At 43.0% G+C, this 14,210-nt stretch overlaps 1 protein-coding gene across 2 annotated transcripts in view, besides 2 other annotated features; it reads left to right on the forward strand.

Moving 5' to 3' along the window:
* Positions 1 to 2,391: 2,391 nt before the first annotated feature.
* The window catches only part of C10orf53 (chromosome 10 open reading frame 53), a 30,611-nt gene continuing 18,792 nt past the window's right edge, over positions 2,392 to 14,210 (forward strand). For both annotated transcript variants that reach the window (NM_182554.4, NM_001042427.3), the window contains exon 1: positions 2,392 to 2,535. In NM_182554.4, the coding sequence (NP_872360.2) occupies positions 2,439 to 2,535 (97 nt within the window). In that variant the 5' untranslated portion in view covers positions 2,392 to 2,438. The remainder of the gene's footprint in view (positions 2,536 to 14,210) is intronic.
* Positions 12,581 to 13,183: an enhancer, noted in NCBI's record as "OCT4-NANOG hESC enhancer chr10:50897886-50898488 (GRCh37/hg19 assembly coordinates)". NCBI's record gives its function as "activates a minimal SCP1, AML or CMV promoter by ChIP-STARR-seq in naive and primed H9 embryonic stem cells {active_cell/tissue: H9 hESC(naive and primed)}" and the evidence as "EXISTENCE:reporter gene assay evidence [ECO:0000049][PMID:30033119]".
* Positions 13,184 to 13,785: an enhancer, noted in NCBI's record as "OCT4-NANOG-H3K4me1 hESC enhancer chr10:50898489-50899090 (GRCh37/hg19 assembly coordinates)". NCBI's record gives its function as "activates a minimal SCP1, AML or CMV promoter by ChIP-STARR-seq in primed H9 embryonic stem cells {active_cell/tissue: H9 hESC(primed)}" and the evidence as "EXISTENCE:reporter gene assay evidence [ECO:0000049][PMID:30033119]".

Below are 14,210 nucleotides of genomic sequence, written 5' to 3' on the forward strand. Positions count from 1 at the left end.
CACCAAGGATGGGGAAACCCTGATAAGTCACCACCCTCCTTAAGTTAGGATCCCAAAGGACTGCACCACAGGAATTAGGATTAAATATAAATCAACCAATCTCCAAATGGACTGTAGCCCAGTTTTGAGTCATCTGGATGGCTCAGAAAAATCTCAAACTCTGAAACTGTATGAAGATGATCCTGGGTTGGTACAAGTAGGAGTTAACAAGAAGTAAATTTTAAAATCTTCTATAGGGGAAGATACTATCTTAGGCCTCAAATTGTTTCTACAAATACTTTTTTAATACAATGTCCAGCACACAATTAAAATAAACCAGAACTCTAGGAGACAAGATAAAATGCGTAGAAACCAGCGGAAATAATAAACCGCAGGACAAACACATGGGTTCTCCAAACAATGGAATTCTCAAACACAGTCTATAAAATACCTATCTTTACTACAATGAAGGAGATAAAGCCAAACCTAAAACACTTGGGAAGAAACTGAAAGTGGCACAGCAGATTTGAAAAGAGAACAAACTAAAATTCTAGAATTGAAAAATATATAACTGGAATAAACAATCAAATTCCTGGCTTTTCTTCTCAGTTAAGAGCCAAAAAGAAAATTCGTAGACTGGATTACAGGTAAAAATGAATGAATGCATGCATACAAACGTGTATACATACAACCCCAAAAGAAGTATGGAAGAAGAAAAAAGAGAAAAGCACAGAGAAGACACATGCAGATTACAATGAGAAGGTCTAACATATACCTAGCTGGAGTCCCTGAGAATGAGAAAATGGAACAAAAGCAATATGTGAAGAAATAATGACTCAAACTTTTCCAAAAACTGATGAAGGACTTTAATTCAGTTTCAAGAATCTCAACAAATCCCAAGAGAGGTAAAATATACAGTAGCATACGTTGAGAGAATTAGTGGGAAAGGGTTTTTTAAATCCTTTACTGTTACAGTAAAACTACAGAAAGCAAGAGATAAAGAAACATAAGCGGTCTTGAAAACAGAAGAGTAACGGAAAACAACTATTCATACAAAACTTTTAGCAAAGTTAAAACAACGTTAAATTTCTAATTAATAAAAACACTACAGTGAGTAGAGGATTTTTGCCTTTAAAGACGTGTACAAAGTTTATAGAGAACCAGAAAATAAGTCCTTCTAAGACAAGACAGGTAACCACATAGAGCCAAGAGGATGAATAATGACATCATGTACAGTCCTGCCTTCCTCCATAGTCTGCTGGGTTCAGCTGTGTTGGTGAATTCAGTGGTTCTTGTCCGATGGTGCGAAACTCAAGTGCTGGGGGAAATTATGTATGACCCATAATAATGTCAAAATTCTGCTGATATCATTCCTCTATTTAACAATCGTGTATAAACTAATTCTCATCAAAGAAATATGTATCATAGAACATACTGTACACGTGGAGAGAATTAAAATACACAGTAGCATACGTTGGGAGAATTAGTGGGAAAGGGTTTTTAAAATCCTTTACTGTTCAAAAGGAGGGTAAAAATATCAACTACAATTGAATATTTAGAAAGTAAAGAAATGCTGTAATCGCAAGGGTATTGCGATTGTTAGGTTGGGCTAATTTCTGTAATAAACAACCCCCAAAATCTCAGTGGTTATGGAATAAATGTTTCCTTCTGGCTTCGGTCACCAACTAATGCAGATGGGTGGGGCTCTATTCGGCGCAGCTACTCAGTGGTCCAGGTTCCTCCCACGTTTTGGGTCTGTCTCCCCGGGAGCCTCGGGTCCTCCCTGGGATCCCGTATCTGGCTACCGATAAGAAGAGGGAGACAGCAGGTGTGGAGGAGACTTTTTAGGAGCCATGCCTAGAAGTGGTGGATGTCTTTTATGTCCAAATTCCAATGAGCAGAACTGAGCAAATAAAAGGGAATTGGACGAATTCAGTTTTGGCTCCACCAAATAGCCTAACTGGTGACAGAAGGGGCCGGGGGAAGAAGGTGGGGGAAGAAGAATGATGAACGAATACTCCCAATCAATCAAAAAGAGGCAAGAAAATAGAAGAAATGCAAGGGTTTCCAATCCATACTACACCCCTGTCACTCTTGGGACCGCAACTTGCCCTCCCAGAGCCTCGGTTTTGTAAACAAAAAACATAAAATACTTCCTAGGGATGGTAAACTGATTCAACCAGATAACGCAGGGAAAATGCTTCGCACGCCGCCTGACACGAACTTACTGTGCCTGGCTGCTGCTGTTATTTATCACTAACACTTGCCACACCAGCTCAAACGCGCGTATTTGCGGACCAGGCGCTGAGGGTCACGTGAGCAGCTTGGGGCCGGGAGGATCCCCTAGCGCCACCCCGGCCCCGCCCGGCGCGTAGCGACGCCCACGCGCCCGGGCCGGAAGAGAGGTTGCTTAGCAGCGTGTGTTTCTCCCTTGCCTCTGCGGCGGCGGAGGCCTGGCGATGCCCAAGAACGCAGTGGTCATCCTGCGCTATGGGCCCTACAGCGCGGCAGGCCTACCGGTGGAGCACCACACCTTCCGCCTGCAGGGCCTGCAAGGTGGGCCTCCTCGCCGCGTGCGCCCCTGAGGGCCCCAGCCTCTGAGCATCCGTGCAGGTGGTGCCCTGTGCCTAGGCCTTCCTCAGACCCCCACGAAGCGCCACCTCTCCAGGAAGTCTTCCCCAGGATGATGTTGCAACCTATGGCTTCCAGGGCTGGGCTAAAAGAGTGGGAAGGCTCTTCTATCCAAGAGTGAGCTGTGGGCCCACCCAGTGCCCAGCAAATTACAGAAATTACCTCCATAGAAAAAATTACATAACCCTGCTTTAAGAATTGGGAAACTGAGGATCAAGAATATTAAGTGACTTTCACAACTCAAATGGCTGGGAAGTAGCGTTGCTGGTATTCCATCTCTTAATCGTTCATGCAGCAGACTTTTATTAAGCACGCAGTGTGTGTTGGACACCCTTCCAGGGACTGAGGACACACTGTTAAACAGTGATGAATGTCCTTGAAGTAATCTCCTTGTTAACTGCTAAATGACAGCTGTGCCTAAGCTCTGACTGAGGCTAGGTGGTGCCATGGGAGCTAACCACAGTGGGACCTGTGACTAGCCATAATGGGAGGGGAGAGGGAGAGGTCTGGAAAGGCTCATTTAAGTGGAGCCTTAAATGAGCCCACATTTAAGTAGACCTTTAAAGAATGAGTAGAAACTAACCAGGTAAAGAGAGGAATGCCTTCCAGGCAGAGGGACTAATAATATAGGCAATGGCTGGAGGCATTCAATAAATGATGTATTAATATTTGTTAAACTGATGGGGGATGAGGCTGGAGAGGTAATCAGGCCAGATCCTGCAGTGCCGCAGATAAGTTTTAGGCAGGGGATGAAGCTGTTGCTGCTCTGAGGAGAACAGATTAGAGGGGGCAAGAGTGGAAACAAGGAAGACAAGTCTGTTGGGGTGGTCCAGGGCTGAGATGAGAGTAGCTTGGACCATAAAGGAGACCATGGATCAAAGTGAAAGCAATGGTACTTCCTGAGAGGATGGAGGTGGGAGGTAAGGGTAAAAAGAATGTTATCCGGATCTAATCAGTGTCTGACTTGAAACAGTGCTGATGGATGGATGTACTGTCCACTAAAATCAAAGACACCAAAGATGGACCAAAATTTGGAGGAATATGTGGAATCGTTCCAAAGGAACAGTCTATTTTGGTCATACAGATAGTCCCCAACTTAGACTTCTTGACTTTAGCATGGGTTTATTGGGAGGTAACCCTATCCTAAGTTGAGGCACATCTGAACCTACAATGGTTCCACTTAACGATTTTTCCACTTTATGATGGGCTTATCCAGGTATTAAGCCCACTTTCCACTTACAGTGGGCTCATTGGGACCTAGCCCCATCATAAGTCAAGGAGCATCTGAATTAAGCTTCATGTGCTTTCGGCTACCTAGACAGAGGTGCTGAATCAGCTCTGTTGTTCTGGAGTTCAGAGAAAAAGTCTGAAATGGAGATAGAAAGATGTGAGTCATTGACTTGGAGAGAACATATAGAATGAGATGAGAGCCCAGGAATGACCATTGATGAACTCCCATCCTATGACCCAAACTAAGAGTCTTCCAGGCAAAATACCCTGAAGCCTAAGGACACAAAAATTAGTTTTAGCTGAGCAATCAGGGAAAGCCTCCTGGAAGAGATGGCATTTGAGTTTGAGTTTGAAGGATGGGTAGGATTTCAATCAGCAGAGGAAGTTACTTTCTGTGAGAGAACAGTTGATAGAGAAATTTCTGTTGCAAATACCTCCATGTTTGTATTTGTCTATTGGGATTGCCAAAACAAAATACCATAGACTATGGGACTTAAACAATAGAAATATATTTTTTCAGTCTAAAGGCTAAAAGTCCCTGATCAAGGTCTGGCAAGGTCAGCTTCTGGTGAGGGCTCTGGGCGCTCTTCCTGGCTTGCTGACAGCCACCTTCTCTTTTGTCCTCACCTGGTGGGATTATATGGGGAGAGCGGGGAGCAAGCTCACTGGTGTCTCTTCTTATAAGAAGAAAGACACTAATCCTATCAGATTGGGTCCTCATCCTTATAACCTCATTTAACCTTAATTACCTCTTTAAGCACCTGTAGTCACATTGGGAGTTAGGGCTTCCATATATGAAGTTGGGGGAAGGGGGGCAACAATTCAATTCCTAGCAGTGTTGCATGGTGATGTTTAAAATGTTTTGTAGTTTTGGCTAAGAAGACAGCCTAAATAAGTGACTTTTCTCTTCCTCCCCCTCTGATGAGCCACACCTACCCACCCTCACCTCATAATCTACCTTTAGTTTATGTTCACTGTCTCTAAAAATAACGTGGGTAAAACATATATTTAAAATGTTGCCATTTTAACCATGTTAAGCATACAATTCAGTGACATTAATTATCTTTACAATGTTGTGGAACCATCACTATTCTCTCTTTTTAAAATTTTTCAACACCCCAGACAGAAACTGTATTCCTTAAGCAACAACACCCTATCCCTCTGTGTCCAGAATTTATTCCTTCTGGTGGGTTCATGGTCTCGCTGACTTCAAGAATGAAGCCAGGGACCTCGCGGTGAGTGTTACAGCTCTTAAAGGTGGTGCATCCAGAGTTGTTTGTTCCTCCTGGTGGGCTCGTGGTCTCGCTGACTTCAGGAATGAAGTTGCAGACCCTTGCAGTGAGTGTTACAGCTCTTAAAGGTGGTGCAGACCCAAAGTGAGCAGCAGCAAGATTTATTATGAAGAGTGAAAGAACAAATCTCCCAAAGCGTGGAGGGGGACAGGAGCCAGTTGCTGCTGCTGGCGCAGGGGGACAGGAGCCAGTTGCTGCTGCTGGCGCAGGTGGCCAGCTTTTATTCCCTTAGTTGGTCCCGCCCATGTCCTGCTGATTGGTCCATTTTACAGAGTGCTGATTGGCTCATTTTACAGAGTGCTGATTGGTGCATTTACAATCCTCTAGCTAGACACAGAGTGCTGATTGGTGCATTTACAATCCACTAGCTAGACAGAAAAGTTCTCCAAGTCCCCACCCGACCCAGAAGCCCAGCTGGCTTCACCTCTCACCTCCACCCCCAGCCCCTGGTAACCTGCAATCTACTTTGTAGCTTATTTCACTTAGCATAATATTTCAAGGTTTATCCATGCTACAGCATGTATTATACTACTTTATTCCTTTTTGTGGCAGATATGCCATATTTTGTTTATCTGTTTATCTGTTGATAGACACTTGGGTTGTTTCCACCTTTCCGCTACTGTGAATAGTGCTGTTATGAACACTGGTAAACAAATATCTGTTTGAATCCCTTTGTTTTAAGGGACTGAAATTGCTGAGTCATATGGTAATTCTATATTTAACTTTTTGAGGAATGACCAAACTGTTTTCCAAAGCAGCTGCACCATTTTACATTCCCACTAGCAATGCACAAGGATTTCAATTTTCTTTGGTTTTAATTACAGCCATCGCAGTAGGTGTGAAATGGTAGCTTGTGGTTTTCACTTAAATTTCCCTAATGATTGGTGATGTTGAACATCTTTTCATGTGCTTATTGGCCATTTGTATGTCTATGGAGAAATGTCTGTTCAAGTCCTTTGCCCATTTTTTAAATTGGGTTGCACTTTTTTTTGTTACTGAGTTGGAAAATTTCTTTAGATATTCTGAATATGAGACCCTTAATAGATAAATGATTTGCAAATATTTTCTCCCACTCTGTAAATTATCTTTTCACTTTCTTGGTAGTGTCCTTTGATGCACAAAATTTTTAATTTTAATGAAGTCCAATTTATCTGTTTTTTTCTTATTTTGCCTGTGATATGCTGTTTAAGAAACCATTGTCTGCTGGGCATGGTGGCTCATACCTGTAATGCCTGCACTTTGGGAGGCTGAGGCAGGTGGATCACTTGAACCCAGGAGTTCAAGACCAGCCTGGTTTGAAGTTCAAAACCAGCCCTTTTTGTAGAAACCAGCCATCTCTATAGAAAACACAAAAATTAGGTGGGTGTGATGGCACGCACCTGTAGTCCCAGCTACTCAGGAGGCTGAGGTGGAAGGATCGCTTGAGCCCTGGAGGCCGAGGTTGCAGTGAATCAAGATTGTGCCACTGCATTCCAGACTGGGTGACAGAGCAAAAGACTCTGTCTAAAAAAAAGAAAGAAACCATTGTCAAATCCAAGATTATGCAGATTTGCCCCCATGTTTTCTTCTAAGAGTTTTATAATTCCTAAATTTAGATCTTTGATCCATTTTGAGTTAATTTTTGTATATGGTGTAATGTAAGGGTCCAAATTCATTAAAAAGATATTCATATGGATATCCAATTATCCCAAGACCTTTTGTTAAAGTGACTGTTCTTTACGAATTGAATGGTCTTCGCACCCATGTCAAGAATCAACTGACTGTTCATTCACATCAGTCACTGTGAACATTTATTTCTAGGCTCTCAATTCTATTCCATTGCTTTATATGTCTATCCTTATGTCAGTATCACATGAGTTTGATTACTGTAGCTTTCTAGTAAGTTTTGAAATCAGGAAATGTGAGTCTTCCAACTTAGTTTTTTCTCAAGATTGTTTTATCTATTTTAGGTCCCTTGCAGTTCCCTATGAATTTTAAGATAGGTTTTTCCACTTCTGCAAAAAACACCATTGGGAATGTGATAGGTATTGCATTGAATCTGTATAATCCTTTGGGTAGTATTGTTATTTTAACAATATTAAGCCGTTTAGTCCATGCACACAGGATGCATTTTCATTTATTTAGATCTTTCTTAATTTATTTTAGCAACTTTTATAGTTTTCAGTGTATAAGACTTGCACCTAATTGTTTGCATATATTCCTGTTTTGTTCTTTTAGATACTACTATAAATGGAATTGTTTTCTTTATCTCCTTTTCAGATCAATCATTGCTAGTGTGTAGAAATACAACTGCTTTTTGTGTGTTAATTTTGTTAATTCCTTCAACTTTGCCAATTTCATTTATTAGCATTAACAACATTTTTTTAAGAACACTAGCAGTTTTGGGGTATAAGATTATGCAATCTGCAAATAGAGGTAGTCTTCTTCCTTTCCAATTTAGATGACTTTTATTTCTTTTTCTTGCCTAATTTATCTGGCTGGTACTCCTAATACTATGTTAAATAGAAGTGCAAAGGTGGGCATCCTTGCCTTGTTCTTGATCTTAAGGGGAAAACGTTCAGTGGGCCTCCTTCAATCAGTTGAAGGCCTTAAGAGAACAAACATTGATGTTTTTCAAAGAACAAGGGATTCTCCCCAAGACTGCAACATAGAAACTCTACCTCTGTCTGTAGCCTAGCCTGTGAACCAATTCCTTAAAACCTCTCTGCTCTCTTTCTCTCTCTCTCTCAAACACACACATACACACACACACGCACACACACAGATGGTCCCTGACTTACAATTGTTTGACTTTTGATTTTTGACTATATGCTGATGCTTTCAGCTGTGTACATTAATGGTGAGTACCCATACAACCCCATTCTGTTTTTCACTTTCAGTATAGTATTCAATAAGTTATGTAAAATATTCAACACTTTATTGTAAAATAGGCTTTGTATTAGATAATTTTGCCCAGCTGTAGGCTAATGTAAGTGTTCTCAGCATTTTTAAAGTAGACTAGGCTAAGCTATGATGTTCAGTATGTTAGGTGCCCTAAATGCATTTTTAACTTAAAATATTTTCAACTTACAATGGGTTCATCAAGACTTAAGTTCACTGTGAGTTGAGGAACATCTGTACATGTGTATAATGTATATATATTTGTGTATGTATATGTACACACACACACACTTACACACACATATATTTTATTGGTTCTCTTTCTCTGGAGAATTGTGACCAATACAACAGGTTCTTGTTTTTTTCCTTTCTGCACTTTAAATATGTATCCCACTGCCTTCTGGCCTCCATGGATTCTGATGAGAAAGCTGATAATCTTATTGAGAATCTGTGTGTGATGAGTCATTTCTTTCTCACTGCTTTCAAGATTCTCTCTTTGTCTTTTGACAATTTGTTTATAATGTGTCTTAGTATAATACTTTTTGAGTTTATCCTGCTTGGAGTTGGTTGAGCTTCTTGGATAGGTATTTTCATGTCTTTCATCAAATTTGGGGAGTTTTCAGCCATTATTTCTTCAGATATTCTTTCTGTCCCTTTCTCTATTTCCTTTTCTCCTGGGACTTTCACTAGGTATATGTTGTTATACTTGAGGGCATCCCACAGGTCTCCAGGGCTGTTCATTTTTCTTCATTCTTTTTCCTTTCTACTCCTCAGACTGGGTTGTTGCAGGAAGTCAGAGACCCTGAACAGAGGGACCAGCTGGAGCTGAGGCAGAAGAACATAAATTGTGAAGATGTCATGGACATTTATCAGTTCCCAAAATTAATACTTTTATAATTTCTTACACCTGTCTTTACTGCAGTCTCTGAAAATAAATTGTGAAGATTTCATGGACATTTATCACTTCCCCAATCAATACTCTTATAATTTCTTATGCCTGTCTTTACTTTAATCTCTTAATCCTGTTATCTTCATAAACTGAGAATGTACGTCACCTCAGGACCACTATTTTACAAATTGATTGTAAAATATGTGTGTTTGAACAATATGAAATCAGTGCACCCTGAAAAAGAACAGAATAACAGTGATTTTCAGGGAATGAGGGAAGATAAACAGGAGGTCTGCCTGCGGGGTCGGGCAGAATACAGCCGTATTTTTCTTCTTGCAGAAAGCCTGTAGACAGACGTGTGAGTAGGAGAAATATCGCTGAATTCTTTTCCCAGCAAGGAATATTAATAATTGAGAACCTGGGAAAGGAATGCATTCCAGGGGGTAGGTCTATAGATGGCTGCTCTAGGAGTATCTGTCTTATGCGGTTGAGATAAGGACTGAAATACGCCCTGGTCTCTTGCAGTACCCTCAGGCTTACTAGGATTGAGAAATTCCAGCCTGGTAAATTCTAGTCAGACCGGTTGTCTGCTCTCGAACCCTGTTTCCTGTTAAGATGCTTATCAAGACAATGAGTGCACAGCGGGACATAGACTCTCATCAGTAATCCTAATTTTGCCTTGCCCTGTGATCTTTATTGCCCTTTGAAGCATGTGGTCCTTGTGACCTACTCCCTGTTGGTACACCTCCCTCTGGAATCAAGAACCAGAGTCCCATACTGGGAACACAGGCTGCTATCTTCAAGACTGCCACCAGGTCAGAGAAAAGGTGAGGCAAGGGCAGGCAAACATGCCACAAAGCTTTCCTACCATTTTAAAGTTGCCTTTTCTTTGATTCAGTATTCACTTGGTTGCTGTAGACCTTTGACTGTTTTCCAGAGTTTTGACAATGTTGGTTCTGACTGTTTCTGGGTTTTGTTTTGTTTTTTATGTATCTGCAGAGGAATGGGAGTTTGGAGCTGTCTGCTCTGCTGTTTTGCTGACATAAGTTCCTTGCTCCTGCCACAACCAGCATGATTGTAGGAGTTCCATTAGATCATTTACATACCAAAAATTTTATTAAAGCAGGATGCATAAATGAACATTTTGTTATAATACACAACTTATCAGTATTGGGGGGGAAACTCCCCATCTAGTTTGTCCACAAATCATGTCAGCTTTAGTTGTCACCTCTCCCTGGTCACTTATCTCCTGCCTACATTTTTGGCACTTCTGGCAGGGAGATGGCATGAGCAGAGGATAAGCACAAGGGCTCTGAAGTCAACACATATGGTTTGAATTGGGCTCCACCATTTAGTAGCTTTGCAGTCAAGGTGAAAATCAAGTGGTTTTACCTTTATGAGCCTCAGTTTCCTTGTTGGTAACAGAGGAATGTGAATCCCTGCCTCACCAATGTGAGATTCTGATGAGCAAGTGCATGTAAAGTAATTAACTCCATGCGTACACACAGTCAGGGCTCTGCAAGCGTTAGTTCTTATTGTTCCTGAGGAAGGCTCATTGCGAAGGGGAGGTGCAGGCAACCTGGGCACTTCTGGGGAGCAGCAGGCTATTGGGTCTGGTTGGAGGAGGATGTGCAACAGGAGAGTCCAGCCTGTCTCATCCTTGGCAACAGGAAGCCAGTGAAGGTTCTTGAGCTAAAGGATGATGAGATCTGGGATGTACCTTAAGAGTCCAATTTTGGAAGAAGAAATTTAAGAAGGAGAAATGGCAGGGTGTGGGGTGGAATGAACTATTAAGAAATATTAAGCCAGTGGCTGGAAATTACGTTCTGGAGTTTGGAAGAAAGATGAAGGCAGGAGATTTGAGTCAGGAGTAGCTATGACTTTAAATGACATTTATATGCGATGAACTTCCAAATTTATGTCTTTAATCAGGACCTCTCGTAGCCACTGCCATGTTGAGTAGGCATCTCAGACTTAGTATGCCCCAAATTTCCAGCTAGACCCCTAGCACTCACCCCCACCAGCAGCTCTGCCCACTTTCCCTCTCCACTGCTCACAGCAGCTCCATCTTGCAGTTTCTCAGGCCAGACACCCTGCAGGCACCTCTCACTCCTCTTTCCCTTACACTCCCTGTTTAGTCTGTCAACACAATTTGTCAGCTCTGCCCTCAAAGTACGCCCAGAATTAATCCCTCTTAGGCCTCCTGACTACCCCCTCTGCATTTTTTGTCCACCCGCCATCATCTCCTGCCTGGATTACTGCCCTGGCCTCCTGACTTCCCTGCAACCCTCATCTGCTTGCAGTTTGTTCTCAGTAACACAGCCAGCTGATACCGGTAAACCTGAATCACATGAAACAGCATGACCTTTACCCCTGAGAACATTCCAGGGGCCCCCAGCTCACTCAGGGGAGAAGCCAAAGGCTCACATGGCCCTCTAGGCTCCTTATGGCCCCCCTGATCTCACCCCCTCATCTCACCCCCTCCTGCTTCTGCCTATCCTCTCCCTGGCCCGCTGCTGCAGCCACAGCCACCTCCTGCAGTCCTTCAATGATCCTAGCCAGCTCCCACCTCAGGGCTTCACAGCCGCTCCGCCTGGAACGCTCTTTCCTACGTGGTCTTCAGCTTCATTCTCTCAGTCTCAAGATATTCCTCAAAAGTCACCTTCATGGGCAGGCCTTCCTTGGGCATCCCAACAAAAATGTCAACACTTCCCTCTGCCTCCCTCTTCCTGATCTCCCTTCCCTCCTTATTTCTTCTTCTTGCTCGTAATTACCTACCTCAGCACGCACTCACCTGTATACCTTGTTACCCTTCTCCCCCACTTGGAGGCATGCTTTGAGGAGGGAAGGGGCAGGAGTTCTTTTCTGGTTCTGTTCTCTGCTGGGTCCCAGCCCAGAGCTGTGCCTGGCATATTGTAAGAATAAACATTAGTTAAGAAAATCAACCTGCGTAAAGCCGAATGCTAGAACCACAGGAGGCAAGACTGCGGAGGAAGCAAGGAAAGACAGGACTGGAGATGGCAGGATGATGAGACAGCCCCCCGAGGGCAGGGTGTGTTAAGAGGAGCAGCCTGTGGAGGAGCAGGGGCAGAGGGAGGAGAGAACTGGAGGCATAAGGGGGCAAGCGATGGCATTTCAGGAAGAAAATTACCAGTGGGCTCCAAACTATTGAGTAGAGGTGATTTCTAGGAGAGAAGAATTCATGGCTGATGAAAGACTGAGAAAAAAAGTATTTTCCTAATTTACCCTCGGCGGGAGAGTAAATTGAACTGTCACCTTTAGAGGACAACTTGGCAGTGTCTGTTAAAATGTGATCATATACTGTAGAATCCAGCTGTTCCATTTCTCAATATCTTCCTTATAAAAGAAAAAACAAACCTCACACACGCACTAGGATGCATGCTGTGAATGTTTTCTACAACATTCTCAGCGATAGCGAAAAATTGGAAACAATCAGAAAAAGGAATGGGTAAATAAATTGTAGTGCGTACATCATGTAAAATCCTACACAGCGCTGAAGAAGAATGCAGCCACTCTATGTGTGTGACAGGGCTGGGGCACATGATGCACTGCGAAGGGAACAAAGCATTGTCCTGAATGCCATGGTCTTACTGCCACTGAAAAAGACAGAGGGAGAGAAGAATTAGGGGTCATTTTTAAAATGTTGTCCTTTTCTATAATTTTAAAGTTTTTTTAAAAAAGTATTATGAATCTTCATTACATTGATAACTTGATTTTTAAAATTTAGAGATCAAAAAACATATTTGTTTTTACCATCAAAAGTATTTTAAAGAAACAAGAAAGGAGGTGGGTCCGAGAGGGATGGGGAGCGCTGGGAAGCCATTGAATGTGCGATGGTTTCCTGACCTCTGAGACGGCAGGCTCTGGACTTGGTGAGCTGAAGGCTTCCCTGCAGGAGGTGAGCGGGTGGAAACACAGCAAAAAGCGAAGGCAGCAGGCGCAGGTGGCTCTTCCCACAATAGGGGAAGGGAAGAGTATTTGGAGAAAGAGCAAGAGGAGCATTTTTATGGCTGAAGGAGACTTGAGGGTTGCAAGGTATCAGTAGGTGGTTGATTTGTAAAGTCAGTTCTGTGTTTCGATGAATGATAAGTCATGTAATACCGGCAGCCAACAAGGGCCAGGGTGTTCACCGCAGCAAAGCAGGGAGCATCTGCACCCCCCCACAACTTTAGATCCAGCACTCACCGCACAGCAGGCAGAGAGTGGTACCTTTGCAGGCCCTCCTCTGTAAAATCTGCATCTGAATTCTCTGTGTTTCTTTTAAAATTACAGCTCTTTATCATTTCCCGAAGCCCTGCTGGCTTTAGAAATAGGCCTGATCTTTTCTGAACTTACCATGCCTTTAGCAATCTGAAAATTTTTGTTCTTTCTTTATTATCCATGAATTATAATAACTCAGCAAAATGTTTCCACTATGGCCTCAATGCTGGTGAAGCTAAACTAATGCTTAACAAAAAGTTCTAAGTAATTTCCCTGGCCACACTTGCCCCTTGCATGCTCTACTTAAGTTTGCCAAATGACCCACTCAAAGGGCTTGGAAGGAATTGAAACCAATCCATAAAATAGAATCCACCCCACGTAGCTGAGACACTCTGTGTGGCATTCTCCTGTGCTAGCTATGCATCAGCGGCCCTTGCGCGGGGGTGTGTGTATGCCTCTGTGCTGAGTAGAGGAGGGAGAGAGGTCTGTTTACCTCTGCTTCCTGACCAGCGGCATTTAAATCATTCGCAGATGCTGTGCAGTTCCACCAGCACCGGCAAGGAGGGAGCCTTTTCCATATCCCTTTCGTTTATTTAGATCCCCCTTGAAGAATGAGGTGCCACTTCAAAGAGGCAGGCGGACTGCAGGTGGCCTTATAGCTTCTGGTTGATTTATGCTGGAGTTTACCCACTGCCTTCGCACAGGCTTTGTTTCAGGGAGTATATTTATCTGACCTTTCTTTGACTAGACAACCCCACAGCAGCTCATGGGAGGAAATGGGTGCTCCGTGTAGAGAAGTGGCATTTGGATGAGCTGCAGGAATTCCGGGGTGTCTAGTGTTTGATCCCTTAAGCCTGCACTGGCCACCTTAGAGCCAAGCCAGCTCAACACCTCCCAGAGTGATGGGAAGGGAATGTCCTGGGGCTGAATATTCAATGTAGACTCTGAGGTAGCTTGTTGCTTTAGCAAGAATCAGACTTAGGTCACTCTGTGGGTCCAAAAGTGTCGTGGGCAGTGCCCAGGGCCATTCTGTGTTTGCTTCTTCAGTGAGCCTCTATTAAAACCAGGCACTTGGAGATAATTCTGGT

This window comes from Homo sapiens, chromosome 10, assembly GCF_000001405.40.
Source record: "Homo sapiens chromosome 10, GRCh38.p14 Primary Assembly".
NCBI lineage: Eukaryota > Metazoa > Chordata > Mammalia > Primates > Hominidae > Homo > Homo sapiens.